General features: G+C 42.2%; 4 annotated features.

Annotated features, from left to right (window-relative positions):
* Positions 667-961: a silencer, noted in NCBI's record as "tiled region #3225; HepG2 Repressive DNase matched - State 9:DNaseU". NCBI's record gives its function as "represses a minimal TATA promoter and a strong SV40 promoter by Sharpr-MPRA in HepG2 cells {active_cell/tissue: HepG2}" and the evidence as "EXISTENCE:reporter gene assay evidence [ECO:0000049][PMID:27701403]".
* Positions 11627-11921: an enhancer, noted in NCBI's record as "tiled region #5023; HepG2 Activating DNase unmatched - State 8:EnhW, and K562 Activating DNase matched - State 8:EnhW". NCBI's record gives its function as "activates a minimal TATA promoter and a strong SV40 promoter by Sharpr-MPRA in HepG2 cells, with weaker activation in K562 cells {active_cell/tissue: HepG2 | K562}" and the evidence as "EXISTENCE:reporter gene assay evidence [ECO:0000049][PMID:27701403]".
* Positions 13583-14083: an enhancer, noted in NCBI's record as "H3K27ac hESC enhancer chr1:172466607-172467107 (GRCh37/hg19 assembly coordinates)". NCBI's record gives its function as "activates a minimal SCP1, AML or CMV promoter by ChIP-STARR-seq in naive H9 embryonic stem cells {active_cell/tissue: H9 hESC(naive)}" and the evidence as "EXISTENCE:reporter gene assay evidence [ECO:0000049][PMID:30033119]".
* Positions 14084-14584: an enhancer, noted in NCBI's record as "H3K27ac hESC enhancer chr1:172466106-172466606 (GRCh37/hg19 assembly coordinates)". NCBI's record gives its function as "activates a minimal SCP1, AML or CMV promoter by ChIP-STARR-seq in naive H9 embryonic stem cells {active_cell/tissue: H9 hESC(naive)}" and the evidence as "EXISTENCE:reporter gene assay evidence [ECO:0000049][PMID:30033119]".

Genomic DNA, 18822 nt, shown 5'->3' with positions numbered 1-18822 from the left:
ACTTTTATAGTATAGTAATTAGTAACATAATTGCTGCAAAGTGAACACTGTACATAGCTAATTTCTTGAGTCCACATCATGATCTGCCATCCTTCTTTCGTTACAAATTCCCCTGAAGTTGTCCAGCTGTTTCTCTTATTTTCCAGTATTTCTCTATAATTTTATTTCTTCTTCATGTCTCATTGCAACTTTGATTATTGTCTCCTTAAGGATTCTTAAAATCCGAACACGAGAAACTTCACATCTGAGGAAGTGTGAGAATGAGATCCAAGCCATCCCCAAAGCAGGCAAGGAACTCCATTTTTCTGGAAGATCTGTTGTTTAGCTCTGTAGGAAATGGGGCCTGATGTATCTCATCAGGTGATTAGAGTAATTTTTCAGTATTTGTTCAAATATATCTTCTAATGTTTTGAATTAATCTTGATTAATCTTGATTTGAATTAATCTTGATTCTGATATAATTAACTAATAAAGATCTATAGGTTGGGCATGGTGGCTCAAGCCTGTAATCCCAGCACTTTGGAAGGCTGGGACAGGAGGATCACTTGAGTCCAGCAGTTCAAGATCAGCTTGGGTAACATGGGAAATCCTATCTCTACAAAAAATAAAAAAGCTAGCCAGGCACGGTGGCATGCACCTGAAGTCCCCGGTACCCAGTTGGGTGAGGGGAGGGAAGGGTGGGCTGAGGTGAGAAGATCACCTGAGCTTGGGAGGCCGAGGCTGTGGTAAGCTGTGATTGTGCCACTATACTTCCAGCCTGGGCAATAGAGTGAGACCTTGTCTCAGAAAAAAAAAAAAAAAAGCTATATTTTTCCATTGTCTGTCTTGTGAACTATTCCTCCCTGACCTCTACTAAGAGGTCATCTCCCTTGTGCAATATTCCTTGAAAACAGGTTTGCCTTTTTTCTTTTTTTTTTTTTGAGGTGGAGTCTCACTCTATCGCCCATGCTGGAGTGCAGTGGCATGACCTTGGCTCACTGCAACCTTTGCCTCCTGGGTTCAAGCAATTTTCCTGTCTCAGCCTCCCAAGTACCTGCGACTACAGGCACACACCACCACACCCAGGTTTTTTTTTTTTTTTTTTTTTTTTTTTTTTTTGTATTTTTAGTAGAGACGGGGTTTCACCATGTTGACCAGGCTGTTCTTGAACTCCTGACTGCAGGTGATCCACCCGCCTTGGCCTCCCAAAGTGCTGAGATTACAGGCATAAGCCACTGCGCCCGGCCCCTGTTTTTTTCATCTGTGAAGTCCAATATCTTTCATGAGTTAGACACCTAGGCAGAAACAGGGAAATACGCTGCAAAGATTCTGATAAAACCTGCTTCTGTTGTAATAAAGGCTAACGATCCACTGAGACTCAGACTCCCGGGGATGGTTAGCCAATGAAAGCACATAATTTACCTCTTCTTCCTCTTTCCTCACGGCGATTGGCCAGAGCAGTGCAGCCTCCTTCCCATCACTTCCCTCTCTCTGAACATGGTCTCTGTGAACTGGGATTTTGGAAGTGGACCTGCAAGATTGATTACTGGGTACGGAGAAAATGCAGTATCTACATTTTCAGTTCTCATTGTTTCATTTGATCCTTTATACTATCAAATGAGGCAGGTAGATTAGATATAACCACATTTCATAAACAAAGAAATCTAGAGTTTAAAAAGGTCAAGAGGGTTCTATAAGATTATTCTGATAGTGGCTAAAAAATTTTTCTGACAGTGGCAATTAGGTCTTCAGACTTATATCCAATCACTTGCAATTCCCATGCTCATGGATTTTTTAGGGTATTACTCTACATAGTGTAATAGTAACAATACCCTATTATAATGAGTATTATGTAACAATATTATTCTATGTGGTGTCAGTGTGTAACAGTAATGTTTTCCTTTTACAAATGTAAAGTACTTATATATATATATTATCTAGTTTTAATTCAGGAATAAATCACTAAGACTCTAAGCCCCCCACTCTATTAGTCAGGAGGCAATCTTTCTAGTAAGTAGACCTGCTTACCTGATGTATTCATTCTGCACCTCAGAAATTGCCTTGTCATTTTCCTAAAATTTTAGGTGAGCTTCTTTTATTATGAGGAATATATTTGTATCCAAGATTTACAGCAGCAATTTGATCCTCTAAGTAGGCAACCTTAGTGGTTGGATGTATTCTGATTCAAAATGAATCAAATGACTTTTAAAGTGAAAATCCCCATGTTAAAACCATAAAGTTCTCCAGTAGACGATAACTCCCCTTGAGGGTAAATAAATGTCTTATGTATCTATATTCTTAGCTCCATAGCACTCTGCCTGGTACATACTACATATTCAATAAATATTGAGTAAATAAATGAATGGCTTTAGTCATCTTCTTCTTCTTCTTCTTTTTTTTTTTTTTTTGAGATGGAGTCTCACTGTGTCACCCAGGCTGGACTATAGTGGTGTGATCTCAACTCACTGCCACCTCCACCTCCCGGGTTCAAGTGATTCTCCTGCCTCAGCCTCCCAAGTAGGTGGGACTACAGGCACCCACCACCATGCCCAGCTAATTTTTGTACTATTATTATTATTTTTTAGTAGAGACAGGGCTTCACCATGTTGGTCAGGCTGGTCTTGAACTCCTGACCTCAGGTGATCCGCATGCCTTGGCCTCCCAAAATGCTGGGATTACAGGCATGTGCCACCACATCTGCCTGATTTTACTCATCTTCTAGAAATACCTACTCTACAGATCCACCAGTCAACTACCAAGCAGCTTCCAAGCTTGGGGTTTTGCCATTGCCTGTAGTCCTAGGGCACAAATTTATTACAGAAAAGCCGACAGAGATACAATGGCAAACTCAGGGGGCATTAGATTAGTACACTAAGAAAAATGTAATCTTCAACAAGACCATGGCCACAAATACACTTAGGCCCAATTCTGACTAGAAAACATGTAACATCTAAATCCACAGATATTCAAGGGAAGTAGCCTACCAATAGAGAAAGCTAGAGATAGAAGACAAGCACTATGGTAATTGGCATGCTCTGACATTATGTATTTTCTGCCTGAGAAAAATTGGGTAGTTTTAGGTGACAGATCACCTTTTATTTTGCAAGGGGGAAACTGGCACTTTCATGAGTTGTGTTAGGACCCATTTGTGCTTAATCTCAATGGAAGTCAATACTGAAAAGGAGGCCCGGGCTTCAGCTAAGATGTGAAATCCAAATTCTATGAAAATCAACAAATGCATTTGTTTTTTTAGGGAGAATTTTCCCAAAGGAATAGGAAGAAACAGTCTCTTATTTAACTGCTCAGAAAGGAGGCTTTAAAAAGATACTAGTTCCTTGGAGCCTGTCCTCTACAGATGAGAACCACTGCCTGGGAGGCAAGGAGAATTCTGAGGAGTTGCCAGACTCTAGTTCAGATACTGCCTCTAATCAGCCTGTGGCCAGGGGTGGGTTGACAGCCTCTTCTCAGGTATATCCTTTCCATCAAAAGTAGCCTGTTCTTTCCTCCCACTCCAACAGAGAAACTGCTTCCAACTAGTTCTGGGTCCAGACCTGTTTTCTAACCAGTAACTGCCTAGCTGGGAGGCTTAGCTCATACTGGAGACCACTTGTTTATTGTGAAAACAAGGCCAAGCTATTTGTCTAAGGCAAATCCCTTTGAGGGAGTTCTGGGGAGTAAATACAATTTATCTATGTCCATTGCTTCATTGGATGCTTGTCTTGCTTTACAGAGCTCTCTCTCCCAATAACTCAGCCCAGTCAAATTTTATCTCATATATTTATAAACAAGTTACAGAATGTTCTCTTGCAGCTGCCCTTGAATTGTCTTTTTACTTCAGGCTTAACTGATCCTCCCAAATGGATATCCAGAGCCAAGAAATACAATATTGAGATTATCAGGACCAAGACAAATCTGGCTGAGATGGCCATTTATTGCCATTCATCCATTGATTCATCAAACACATTGTTGAGCACCTACTAAAAGCTACTGCATTCTAGGCACTAGGTGCTGGATGCTAGAGCTACAGAGATGAAAGATGCAGTCCCTGCCCTCAAGCTGTGCACAGCCAAATAGGAGGCTTCATGATGTAGTGGGGAAAATCACAGACTTAAAGTCAGACAGATGTGTGTTCTAATCTTGATCCTGCCTCTTATTAACTATGTAAATGTATGCAAAACCTCTCTAAAGTTTATCTTCCACATCTATATGATGGAAATAATAGTCCTACTTCACAAGCTTGATGTGAGAATTAAAGACATATAGTACCTGGAACATAGTAAGCACTCAGCAGATGACATCTATGCTGTTGTTGTCATCATCATCCTGGGGACAGCCACATGAATTAACAATTACAATATTGCATGTGACATATGAGGATGGGAGAGGGTACTATAAGAACATAGTCTGCCATGGTGATGAGGAAGAAGACTTACAAGAGGAAGGGAATTGATACCAACTTGAGCCCAGAAGGATGAGTAGCAGAAAGTCAGGCCTGAGAAGGGCATTCTAAGAAGGCAGAACAATAGCACATACAAAAGCCTGGGGTGGGGAGGGAGAAACAGGCACTTTCAGGAAATTTCAAGTAGTTCATTGTCTCTGGATCCTGGGATATATGTAGGGAAGTGTTGGGAGGACTACCAAGGAAGGGAGGGACCATGCTGTCATCTTGGCAATGGCCACAGGGCCCTGCACTGCTGCTCTTTCTCTACTACCCTTCTGACCTAAATAACCAGATTGTTCCATGTCTCATAGAGACCATCTCTCTCCACCTTAGGCTTTACAGATATGGGCTGTTTATTTCCATTGTATGTTTCTTCCCATGCCAGCCACCATAGGTGTCATAAGGGAGGAGCAGGGCTCTTATGTATTCTTCAGGAGTTTCTGCCGAGAAGTGTGACCTGTACTCCAACGTCAGAGCAGGCTGTAAGTTTATTCAGCTTCATAAAGTGCTCTGTCAGGTAGGAGAGGGCTTTATGTCTAGTAAGAACGTGAAGAGAAAAATAAGTAACAACTGGTGTTCAACTACTGCAGAGTCTGTTTTCCTCAGTGATGGCTTTGACCTAGATACAGCTTGGAAGGAGAAGCTTTAAACTTGCTGCTGTGTCCGATAGGTAGGTTCAGTCAAATCAAGTTGACTGGCACTAATTGAGCATGTATCTTGTGTCTAGGACTCTGCCAGGCACTGCAGAGAAAGACTAAAGCAGTGGAGTGAGTCTCAAAGAGTTTACCTATTGAGTTCTGAATTCATGGTTACATAGCCAGTAGGCCCAGCAGAACTGGAAAGTGAGGTCTGCAGGACTCGAGTTCATACGCTTTCTGCTATGTTATGATGACCTTTTGGTATTAGGCACAGATAATTTGGTTCAGGGACAGCTAGGAAGTAAAGTACAAGCCATGGCCAATCACAACACTGTATGTCTTGTTCATTTAACATGAATGAGCCTGGCACAGTAGAAATCTTCATTCAATCAATGAAAGGAATATTGATTGGCCTTGCAAAGCATGAAGAGGTACAATATGACCAAGAATCTCTTGGCAAGCTCAGCTGACCCTGAAGGGGTCAAAGTTTGGGCTGTCATTCAACCCAGCTCTGGACATAGGAGAAACCTTAGTTAACCCTCACATTTGCCCTCAGAGTAAGTAAAATGGTCTCCAAGAAGCACTTGGGCAGGAAGTCCAGTCTGTTACAGTGGGCTGTGGAGAACCAAAGGCAAGAAGTAGCTTTAGTTGAGAAGGTTTGTGGGCCATTCTGTTGCCTTCACTAGATTTGGTCATTGGTATCTGCGATTATGTATCGTGCCTTATTGGTGTTGGGGTTGGAGGATGAGGCAGAAACAGCACTAAGAGAGAGATTAGTGAAATTCACAGGCAAAAAACTTTGATGGATTAATGGAATCAACCTATATTAGTCTAGAAATGTCAAAGTCTTCTAAAGGACATTGTACCTTTAGATACAAAGATTACATTTTAGGCATCAGTGAGTGATACCCGTAACATCAAAAGAGAATCTACAACCCATTTGCTTTACCAAGGGACGAAGTAGAGATATGGCTTTAAATTCAGTCACTTTTAATGGCTGGAAGAGATAAACATGTATAGAGTTACATAGAATGGAAACTGGGACCCTCTCTACACATTAACAAGGGAAATTGGCCTTAGAAAAGGTAGCCTAAATGGAATGACTGCACTTCAGACCAAGAACACCAGCTGGCTTACTACAGGGATGTGGAAATAAGATTCTCACTGCCTCTGTCTTTGTTTTACTACCTATGTAATGGGGATAATGATACTTCCCTTTACCTGTCTCACAGAATTGTTGAGAAGATGAATAATGCAGCATTTTAACATGCTTTGAGACCCTTGAGACATGGCTTTTGTAAGTGCTGGGTATGATATTACCATTATCATTATTACCTTATCACTTTATCTTTGCAGAAAATGATGCTTGGAAAAGCTTGCTGGTCATTTTGATATCAATTTCTGGCCAACTTCTTCTTCCCTAATTTCTTTCCATGCTGATGGACATTAAGCCAATTTAACCATCCACTTAATCTCTCTAGTGTATCATGCACATCCTGACCTTCGATTCTCTGCTCACATCTTGTCCCCTGCATGCTCTTCCTCTTCATATTTCTAAATCCAGCCCTTTTCTCAAGCACTTGGGGAAGCTGGGAAGGCAAGGACCGAGTCTCCGAGTGCATCCCATTCAGGCCCAGTCAGGTTGGCAACTGCTAGACTTTGCATCAGGTCATTTTAAAGGTCATCAAACTGAAATATAACTTGTACACTCTTCAACTTGATTTTGATAGAGAATTATTTCCTCTGTCTTGCTTCTCTGTGCAACAGTCAGAATTGAAACTGTATATAACATGTACATTATTGCGACAGTAATGGAGTGGCTTTGCAGTGACCAAACTTTAGAAGAATGGATGATCTTTTGGATGTGGGCAATAGCTGCTGCAAAGTGGAGAGGTTGTCTGAACTACCTTCTTCTTCCTGATGTTAGATAATACCTTGGTTTACAGTAACTCAATAAGTTTGCAAGAGCCCATTTTATTCCAATGTAACTAAATCTCAACTTGAATTTATGAGCAATAAAGTAATCACATTAATAGAATAAAAGTTATCTCCTCAAAGCTAGCTTTTCAGTTACTATCGATGGACTTACCCCAAAATATCCTCCAGATTTCTATTTGACCCCTTCTACATTACACAGGCTTCAGTATGCAAAGTGATTCCCAAACAGCACACTTCAGGGTCCTGAGCCTGAGCTAACTGTCATCACACTATCCTTTATAGGATTTGTTTTTGTTCTGGTTTCATGATTTGGAAACACGTACTCTGGCTATGTCCATGTGTCAATGACGCTTCTGCAGTTCATTGTCCTGCACACACTCTTGCTCCCTATGTTCCTTGTTCCCATGTGTTCCTTGTCCACATGGAGGGTGGAATAGTATGAGCTGCTGCAGGCAGGTTGGATGGTTTTTTTATTCCCTCAGAAGAAGTGACCTTTGAGTTAGTGTCCTAATGTTCTTATAAAAGGTGCCTTAAATTTGTCTATTGCATTTAGAGGAAACCTCCAGCCATTACCTAGAAGTGCTGAGAAAGGATCACTCAAGTCAGCTTTGTATTAAGGACAGATATAAAAGTGGTAGACCAGAATGAGACATGGAGAAGCTGGTCCTCTATCATGCTGTCCATCTGTTAAAATCCTACTCTTCTCCCAAGATCCTTATCATCCCTAACTAAACCGATTTCCCTCACCTCTGTATTTCTGTACACTTAATACTCTTCTTGTGACATTTACCAAATTAGCTGTGTCACCAATAATTTAGCATTATGTTAATAATCAAGAAAACTTTGCATTTACCTGATGTTTTAAGGTAGATGAAGTTTCACAACACGTACTATTTCATTTGACCCTTACAACTTCTTAGAAAAATTTGTTACCTCTAAAACTTATTTTCTTCCTCTGTAGAAAGGAGTTATTTCACTCTTTCTTAAAAGAATTAGAAAATGTGTTTATTTTGTCATTCTGGGAAAAAAAATACTTATTCAAATTAAGCCTTGCAAAATCACGTAATCAAATAGTGCTCTTAGGGTCATTGTGAGGAGTAAATGAGCTAAGGGATGTGAAAACTGATTTGTGAAATGCAAAGGCACATCCAGATGCAGAACCACAAAGGCCCTAAGGTTTCTGGTGTTTGCGACTGGGTGCCAAAACAGAGATTTGAAGCAATACATGACAGGGAGAAGATTTACCTGTTCGAAATCTTCTAGATTTAGAATCTAGAAGATAGCTGAACCCTAATCTATCAGAAGAGTATCGATATGGCATTTATCTGTATAACTGGTCAAGCTTAGGGGCTGGTGCTCAGGGAAAAATGTCAGTCCTAGTAGGTGTGAAAGTCAATGGAAGGTAGGCAGTAAGTGAAGGCAGGAGTGTGAATAACACCAATGGAAGAGAATGCAGTATGAGAAGAAGCCCAAGAGACCCCTTGGGATGGAGTCTCTTGGGAAAGGAAAGGAGCTGGCTGAGGAGAAGCTGAAATGGCAAGAAAAGCAAAGGAAGAAATTCCAAGTTGGATACTAGATGTCAAATGAAAGGAAATGAAATTTTGGATTAGAAGCTTAAGAGGCCATTGGGAACTTTCAATATTCTAGTGGGTTGAGGAGTGAAAGGGACATGAGAAAATGGAAACAGTTAGTGGAAAGTTTGCACTGCAGGCTGTCCTTTTGAAAAAATTGGTGACGAAAGGAAACAGAAGATTGGATAGTAGCTTTGGGAAGAAAGAAATAGGACCAAGGAAATGAAAGAAAGAATAATATATAAGGCTTAATAATTATTTATGTCAAATATCAAACACATATCACTTATAGTATGCCAGGCACTGTTCTAAGTAGTTTATGAAAATTAATTCCATCCTCATCACTACCCTATGAAACAGTTATTATTATTATCGCCATTTTACAGATGAGGAAACTGAGGCATAGAGTGGTTAAGTAAATTTCCCAAAGCCACATAGCAACAACAGAACTGGTAATTAAACTACAGGCAATCTAGTTCAAGAGTCCAGGTTTTAATTCATTTACCTTTCCTTTTATAATAATTTTGTAGTAGCCAAACCATTGAGGAAGACGTATCAAGACTTTTTCTTATTTTTAATGAGAAAGATTTCAACTCACTTGGATACTAAGAAGAAGCCAGCACCCTAAGAGATGAATAAGAATTTCTGGGTAATAAAGACAATAAGATCCCAGAGCATATGAGTGGCTATGGTGGGAAAGTGTAAATAAAGCAGTTAGTCTTGGGCAAGAATTAGTAATAATTCTCTCTTAAACAGGAGAAAGATGGTGAAAATAGAGATTTAATTCTGAGGTTTTGAGAAGGAAAGTTGAGCAAATTCATCCAAGATGGATGCTAGTAAAGTTTCTGCTGAGAGATATTGGAGGAGTGGTTCAGGGCTTGAGTAGAAAAAGCTGTAGCTTACTAAAATGGAATGAGGAGTCAGCTTTTACCAAATTGCACTGAGAGCTGACTGAGGCCACCTGGTATGATTACTAAACACCTCCTGTATTCAAAGCAATATGCTGGGATCTTAGCCTCCATTTGTCACAGCTTTTAATCAGTTGAGAAAGATATAGAAGAAGCATATAGAAGAAACAATGGAAGACAAGATCAAATATCACTTGTGTGGCTTAATGCTTTTCATGGAGCTCAGAGAAGGGAGCGGTCAGAGGAGTTGGGGAAAGGCTGTAGCTTGAGCTGGTCCTTAAAGATCAGGAGAATTTGGGGGATGGCATTGAAGGCACAATTTTTGGTGGTGGAGAAAGTGAGAGGAATAGAAGAATCGAAGGAAGAGAGGCAGGCATTAAGAGGTACTATTGGGGCCAGGCACAGTGGCCCAGGCTGTGAGGCAGCATTTTGGGAGGCCAAGGCAGGAGCATGGCTGGAGGCCAGGAGTTTGAGACCAGCCTGGGCAACATAGTGAGACCCCCATCTCTTATTTAATAAACAAAAGGAGGCACTCTTGGTAAAAGCACAGGGACTAGGGGCCAGGAGAGCAGTAATAATTCAGGCCAAAAGATAATCCTACCCCGTGACCCACACCTGATTTGGATCCCCTCAGACCCCACCATCAGTCTTCTTAGCTACTTCATCCCTGCCTTGCTTTTCTCCATAGCAATAATCACTTCCTAATACACCATATTAAAATTATGTTATTTATATTTCCTAGAATGTAGGCACTGTGAGGGCAGGAATAATTGTTTGAATCACTAGTGTATCTCCTAGCTCTACATCAAGTTTGACTTATAAAAGGCTCTCAGTAAAGATTTGCTTGAACAAATACAGCAGCAGTGTCAGGGGTTACCTGGGGTCCCTCCAGCATAGGCTCAGGGATTTTTGGCTCACAACGTGCTGTGAAGAAAAGCCTGACCTAGACAGAAGTGACAGCCTGCTTCTCAAACAGAAGCTCTTTAATACCCAGGTGACAATAAAGCTCTCAAAAATTAAAGGCAAGCAAGGATTCCCCTAGAACTGGGGACTGAGGAAGGCTTCCCTGAGGAAGTGGGGGAGAAAGTGTTTAAGAACTGGTAGATTTTAAGCTAATTGATCAGAATGATTTAAGTCCTTACTAAGGGCTTTACAGGGGCTGCATCAGCCCCGCTAAAAGGGACAGTTCGTTCCAGAGTCCTCTCGGGGAAGGAGCATTTCCTCAGATCTTGGTTCAGGTAACAAGGGCCCCTTGTATTTTTACCAGTTCTTAAAGACTGTCCAATAGGGAAAAAATAATTTTTGCTTCACACATTCAAGTTTAAAATTGGCCTCAAAGTAGGAAACAAAGCACATATTGCTCAGAGGCCAAGAGTTACACGTCTGAGCAGTGCCCAGTGATGGAGTTGATCCATGGTTGGTATTGCCATTGTTCAGAAAGCATTCACAGTGATCATGGGTCTGGGTCCTGTGCCCATCTCGAGCTGCCAGTTCCTTCAGGCATTAGCAGAGTCATATAAATGAATCAGCCCCTCTGTGAAGGGGTAATTCCATTTTCCTGTTTGGTAAAATGAGTATGAGAGTCCTCACTTCCTCTCCATAGCCCCACGTCTGCAGAAGGAAGGAGATCTGCTCTCACCTGTGAACACCTTGTGTTCCATAAAAAGAGAACATTTGCTGTTAGTCAGTGGTACTGCTGTTTTGAAAGCCTATTGGCTACTTGTCAGGAGAGGTCATTTGTCAGGAGAGGTGAGGTGGCAATTTTCTGAGAACCTTGGCATATGCCTGCAATTTCCTAGGGAGAGGCCTGTTGGCTTTTAATTTTCTTCCCCCAGAGAAAACCAGAAAGGTCCCCACCCCCCAACTTTGTAAAATACCCAGAAGGAAAGACTCAGTAAGAAGCCTCTGACTGCCTGCTAGGAAAAGGGTAGGCAGATGGGGAAAACCTGGTTATACCTGTCAACCCAGCCTCCTCAGCTGAAGTGGCAGTCATGAAGAGAAATGCCCCTCCCTCCAGCCAGAATACGCTTGGTGGCAATTTCCCATTGAGAAGAGAGGCAGCTGGGGCTTCAGCCAAACTCCCTGAAGCCAGGGCAGCTCTGCAAGAACTGGGTGCCTGCTTGAGCTCTAGTCTCAGTCAGGGTTGATATAACACAGTGCTGGAGGGCTAGACTTTGATACCTGTCTCAGGATGCTCCCTGGCAAAGGCTTGCATGTGTCATTGTCACCTGACTGATGAGTAAGGCGAAAGTGTCAAACTCCAGTCCAGAAGACTGATGTGGCAGTGTTTGGCTGAGGCAGCGCTGGAGAGTCAGTCTAGCCCCAGGATCAACAGAGGGACTTAGGTTTCTCACCCCATTCTCCTCCCACTCTCCCTCACTTCCTCACCTCCTGCAGTAGACACAAACTCTGCTGAAGAGGCAGAATTACATGGTGAGGACTGATCTATACAAACAATACCTGGGTTCCAACCAGCTCCACCACTTGGTAGCTGTTTGTTTTTTGGCAAATTACTTAACTTTTTTTTTTTTTTTGAGACAGAGTCTCACTCTGTCACCCAGGCTGGAGTGCAATGGCGCGATCTCGGCTCACTGTAACATCTGCCTCCTGGGTTCAAGTGATTCTCCTGTCTCAGCCTCCGGAGTAGCTGGGATTACAGGCACCTGCCACCAAGCCCGGCTAATTTTTTTATTTTTAGTAGAGATGGGGTTTCACCATGTTGGCTAGGCTGGTCTCGAACTCCTGACCTCAGGTGATCTGCCCGCCTCGGCCTCCCAATGTGCTGGGATTACAGGCATGAGCCACCGTGCCTGGCCTACTTAAGTTTTATGTGCTTTAATTTCCTTAAATCCATCTGTAATAGAAGGATGAAAATAATGATACCTACTCCAAGTTCTAAGAGAATTAAAACAATGAGCACATGCACAATGAATAGTGCCTGGCACAGGGGCTGTACTCAATAAATGGCAGTATTAGGTAATAACAATGATACTCCTTGCAGCTCTCTGAAGGTTGCAGCTGCAGGCTGAGCCTGGCGGAAGCAGCGTGGAATATCAAGTTGCTAAAGAAAGTTGTTTAGCAACTTTCATGGGCCAACCCTTCCCCTTCCTTGATCTTGAGAAAATTTTAGTACTTTTGTGTCTTTATAAAACTCAGAATTGTTCTCTGACATTGTAGCTATCTCACCTCACCTCACCCAGTTTATAAAGCTACAGTTGCCTTGGCCATACTGCTGCCCACCCCCACAACACACAGACAACACTCCCCAGGAGGCAGGATTCATTTGGTCGCTTTCCTTTTAGCTTCTCTGGCCCTTAAATTATATTTCCAGGGAATTTGGTGAAAAAAATCAATAACCACCCCAAAAACCCAGGTACCAAATCTGTTTTCTCCATCTGTGACTTAGCATCTCAGAAAACGGAGGCCTCCATATGATGTGGCCATGAGGCCAAAAGTTAATTCACATTTCCAGACTGCCCACATTTCTAATAATTCACATTTGCAGCCCTCTGCTGCAAGATTGCCCTGTACCAAGCCCTTTCAAAACCTCTATCACCAGCTTGGGTGAGGGATGGGTTGAAGAATATCATAAAGCAGTGGAAGCAACTTGAGAGCCATGTTCTGCTATGGAGGCTGGGTGCGTAGTAGATATAACAGTTAAAAGTCGACTCCAGTGCTTCTGGGATATCAGTGTGCCTCTAAATCCCCTGGAGAACGCTTTAAAACATAGTATCCTGGGTCTCACCCCAGAGTTGGAGATTCAGTAGATCTGGGATGTAGCCTGAGAAGTTGCATTTATAACAAGTTCCTAAGGAAATGGGGAGGATGCTGCCAGGGGGGCACATTTTGAGAACCACTCATTTACACAAACTCAAGGGGTTCCCCAGCTTCTCTCTAGCCACCCAAAGTCACTGGTTTCTTGTTACTCTTTAATTGTTTTGTGCAGCAGAGCAGCACAGCAAATAACGCTGCCATTAGGAGAGCAGGCTCTGGGGCCAAACTACCGGGGTTTGAATCTTGGCCTTATTTTACAAGCTGTGTGATCCTGGCCAAATTATTTAACCTCTCTGTGCTCCAGATTCCTCACAAAAACACATATTGATATTTTTTGACTGCTTACTATGCACTAGGCATAGTTCCAATGTATTTACTATTAATTTTTTGATTCCTATAAGACTAAGAGGTAGGTGCTATTATCCCCAATTTACAGATGAACGAATTGAGGCACATCGAGGGATAATAATAGTAAACACTTTATTATTGTGTAGATTAAATGATATAATCCATGCTAAATTTTAATTTGAGCTTGTAAGAATGTTATTTACACTTACTACGGAAGCAAAGATTGGAAGGTCCTCTCCTTTCTTTTGAAAACTTTAAGGATTTTTCTAAGAGGATGAACCATTGTACTTCCATCTGAGTCCTATGGACAGGATCTAGCAATCACATCTCATATCCTCTCCCCCATTTAAGTTCTCCCACAAGAGAAGGGTTTCTCCCTTGCAGACTTTCTGTCTCCAGAGAGCTGCCACAGTTCTAAGGGCCCCAGGGCATGTGTGGGTGGAGCAGTGGGAATTGGGGAGGCATCCAGGAGGAAGTCTGCTTGAAAGCAATCGTGTGTGTTTGCCTGGTTAAGCAGGGAGTCCTGTATGAGACCTGACAGGGGCAGCTCACAAGAATGCAGGCAGCTTGCAAGCTCACTAGACCAAAAGAGGAAAGAAGGAGAGGAGAGAAAATGCCCGGAGCCCCAGAGCTGCGCCAGCACATTCCAGCATGGTTGACACTTGCTGATGGCCTTTGTTTTTCTAGCAGAGCTAGCGAGTAGGGGATAGATACCCGGGCATTGCTTTTTCTGACCTTGACACATTTTAAGCTTTCTTTTCCAGATCAGGACAGAAGGCTTTCTAAAGTAAACCTAGGTTGAATGTGAATACTAACTGGTATTTAATCACCATCATTAAATACCATCAGAGGAGTGAAAAACTGCTGTTTAAATCTTTAGAACTTTCTAGCTATAAGTAAAACATTCTGATATGCAGAGAGTCATCATTCAATTCTAACCAGTTATGCTGGCTGCTGAACCTCCTGTCTGTTCCTACACCCTGCCATGTCCTGGGATTAACTAATATCTTCCATGCCCTTGGGATGTCACCTCCCCCAGATGGTTCTTTGATTCCCTTTCCCAACCTTATCTCTCACCGGGGCTGGATTAGGTGCTGATCCCAGATGCTCTAATAGCCCCTGTTCTTACCATATTATTTCATGATGGCTTGTTTAGTTGTCTGCTTCTTCTATTCAACAAGAAGTTGTAAGCTTCTTATTCATTTGATTTCCCAATGCCAAGCACAGTGCCAGGCAGATAATAGGCAACCACTAAATCTCCACTGATAACTATTTTGTGCATACTGTTCTGTAGCAGGACAAGCCACAGACAAAACTCCTCAGACACCAAGTTGAAGAAGGAAGGGGTTTATTTGGCTGGGGGCATCGACAAGACTCCTGTCTCAAGAGCTGAGCTCCCTGAGTGAGCAATTCCTGTCCCTTTTAAGGGCTCACAACTCTAAGGGGGTGCGTGTGAGAGGGTGGTGATCGATTGAGCAAGGAGGGGGTATGTGACTGGGGGCTGCATGCACCAGTAATTAGATCAGAACAAAACAGGATAGGGATTTTCACAGTGCTTTTCTGTACAATGTCTGTAATCTATAGATAACATAACCGATTAGGTCAGGGGTCAATCTTTAACTACCAGGCCCAGGGTGTGGCGCCGGGCTGTCTGCTTGTGGATTTCATTTGTGTCTTTTAGTTTTTACTTTTTCTTTCTCTGGAGGCAGAAATTGGGCATAAGACAATATGAGGGGTGGTCTCCTCCCTTACTCCCACCCAGCCTTTGCTATCCTGCTAAGTTCTGTGGACCCTCCATTCCTCAAAGACCTGATTCCCACACTCACAGAGAACAGTAAAAGCAGAAACTGTGAGGCATTCTGCTTAGTTAGTGGTAAAACCTGGGGTGACAAATGTTTGACATGTTCCAGCTTAAACTAGGGGTAAATGGATTGAGTGAACAAATGGGAGGTGACTGCCCAGTGTGAATTGGTCCAGAGTGATGGATAGATGAGAGGTGCGTCTAAGCAGAGACAGAAGAGCACAGGCTTACACAGAAGGCCTCAATAATCCACTTGATCCCTTTCTAGATACCTAGTTCCTCCCATGGTAACAATTCTGATGACAGAGCAGATGCTCTGGAAGACCAGCTTTCCAGCAAGCCTTTACCATACTGATGAGGGCATTAGCAATGCCATAGACTGGCTAAGCCTGGTGTTATAGGACTCGCCACCTCCAAGGGGTGAGTTATATTCTGGCCTAAATCTGAGCCTTAAAGATGTGGCTTGGATTCTGCTGGCAGACATACTTCTCTGTACCCACTGCTCAGTCCTCATCATTGCAGACTTTTCTTCTCTCATCAGTTAGTCCCAAATTATATCCTTGGTCATAAGGGAACCAGGAGGAAAAAGTATATGGGTGCAACTTGTTAATGAAGAACCAAATTATGTAAAATATTTTAAAGGGGTTTATTCTGAGTCAAAATGAGTGATGACTGCCCAGGGAGAAACACAAAGCCAAGAAGCCTTGAGTAAGTGGTCCCAAGGCAGTCAGATTACATTTTGGTTTTATATATTTCAGGGAGGCAGGAGTTAAAGGAAAGACATACATCAATACGTGGAAGAGATACATTAGTTCCATCTGAAAAGGCAAGATATCTTGAAGTGGGAAGGGGGGTGCTTATAGGTTACAGGTGAATTTAGAGATGCTTTAATTTATAATTGGTCAAAGGAGTAAGGTTCCATCTACAACTTGAAGTCAATAAAAAGGAATGTGTTAAGTTAAGATTAGGAAGCTCTGTAGCCAGATTGATAGTCTGTAGGCATGACTTAACCCTTGTCTTCTATGACCTTAGTCTTGTGTATACTTTGGTATCTTATTGCCAGCTTGTTTTGTTAGCCTTATGATCTCTGTTTTAACAGTAATGCTGGTCAGTTGTGCCTAAACTCCAAAAGGGAGGGAGCATAACAAGGTAGGTCCAACCTTTCTTGCTGTCATGGACAGGAACTAAGTTTTTAAGATTTCTCTGGGGTCCCCATGGCCAAGAGAGGGTTCAGTTGGTGGAGAACTTAGGATTTTAAGTTTACAAACTGGACGGATACCTCAAAAGGCATCTATTTATAGATCAGTAGGATCCCTTTTTGGTAGGAGACAGGCAATGAAGATAATGTTCAGGGTCTGGAAGGCCTATTAGTTTGCCCTGGGTAGGATACAGTTGGGGCTCAGAAAACAATACCCCAGAATGAAGGCCTCAGAAACAGCCTCAGGAGCCAAAGGTTTTCTTTGACCTGCTGCTGCCCTCTTGTCTCCCAGCCTGCTTTCTCCCCTGAGACTAATCATAGAAACCAGAATCCCTCTTCACCAAGGTGGGTCAGGGACACCAGAGGGCTTTTTCCCTAAAGCTAGCCATAAAAACTAAAAATATTACTCTAACTTTTCCTCTTTCTGCGTAAAAACTGTCCATAAAGAAATTGTCTGACTTACCTTGTTTGACTGTAGGTCATAAGACCCCCGATTGCAGAGAGGGCTCTGCCCCAAACTCAGAAGGAAGGAGTGCATGCTCAGAGGCTAAGAAGAATCAGGCAGAGAGGCCTTGCTGGTTTTCCCCACTCAGTCTGCTAGCATTAGATCATACCTATTTTGTCCAATCATATTTCTACACAGCTCTCCATACTTTGTTGAACTAAGCATAAAAATGAACCATTTCCCCTTTATCTTTCAGTCTTCAGTCTGAAGGCTCCTGAGTATACATGTTAAATAAGTTTACCTGCCTTTTCTCCAATTAATCTGCCTTTTGTGAGTTGATTTTTTTAGTGAATCTCTGGCCCCTACAGTACCTATGCGTACACCTGGTGCAGAGGACCCCATGATTTTAGTGCTGTCCTTGGTGACTGATTGCTGTCTGTCCATAGTTCAACATGTTTCAGATTCTGCCTTTGTTGCTTTTGTGTGCACGTAGTCTTCTTAACATGAATATAGGCTTTTGGTGCTTCCTTTGTATTTTAGCACAGTTATAGGAACTTGGGGTGAAAGGAGGAGGAGAGACAATGCTTATTGAAATTATATAAAAATCAAGAAAGGCATTGGGGACAGAGCTTCAGTCCCGTCTATTGCCTTTCCAATCTAAGACTAAATTTAGTGTTCTGATTTTACTGACTTTATAAACTTCTAAATGAACGTTTGTGCAAAACCTGTATGGTACAGAAACAGGCTACAACAAAAACATGAGTTGTAATCTATTATGAAAGCTCATACATTTTTCCTGAGGATGCTAGGAAGCTCAAGTGTCCACCATCAGGGAGAATCCCCTCTTACCCCCATGTCCCAAACACTCTAAGCCTACAAAGTTAAGCCAGACCAGAGCTACACCCTTATTTTGGAATAAAATTTGGCTCTACCCAAGCATCACCCTTCAGTGAGCAATGGAGGCCAGATTCAGCAAGACAGTACAAGGAAATCTCATCCCTGGGACAAGTTCTTTTTTTTCCCACAAACATTAAAACTAGCTGAGAGATCTGGCATAGCAAAGTGGGTGATCTTTCTAGCATTCAAGAAGAAATAACTAAAGGAAGATAGATTGGTTGTCTTCAAATATTTGAAAATTTGTTGTTACTGGAGGGGAGTGGCTGGCTCTGTATTATTACTACAGGGGAGAAGTAGAAGAGTGGAAGCATAAAGAGGTTGATTTCACCTAGGCATGAGAAACAACTTTCTTTATTTTATTTATTTATTTATTTATTTGAGATGGAGTTTTGTTCTTGTCACCCAGGCTAGAGTGCAATGGTGCAATCTCAGCTCATTGCAACCTCCACCTCCCAGGTTCAAGCAATTCTCCTGCCTCAGCCTCCCAAGTAGGTGGGATTACAGGTGCCCACAACCACGCCTGGCTAATTTTTATATTTTTAGTAGAGATGGGGTTTTGCCATGTTGGCCAGGCTGGTCTCAAACTCCTGACCTCAGGTGATTCACCCACCTTGACCTCCCAAAGTGCTGGGATTACAGACGTGAGCTGTACCCCACCCAGCCAAGAAACAACTTTCTGTCAATTCCAGCTATCTGAAATGCAACAGTCTGCTTTTGGGGGTAATGAGCTTCCTGACACTGAAGGCATTTTCAAAATATTTAATTTACTTTCTTAAATAAGTGATATATACAACACAATGATATTCAAAAGGAACAAAAAGTTATATTATGAAAATTTCACCTCCTTCCCACCTCTTTTTCCTAAACATTTCTTTTTCTTCTGA

This window comes from Homo sapiens, chromosome 1 (assembly GCF_000001405.40).
Source record: "Homo sapiens chromosome 1, GRCh38.p14 Primary Assembly".
Classification (NCBI taxonomy): Eukaryota; Metazoa; Chordata; class Mammalia; order Primates; family Hominidae; genus Homo; species Homo sapiens.
Note: the sequence above shows the minus strand (reverse complement) of the source record. Positions and strands in the feature narration are given on the sequence as shown.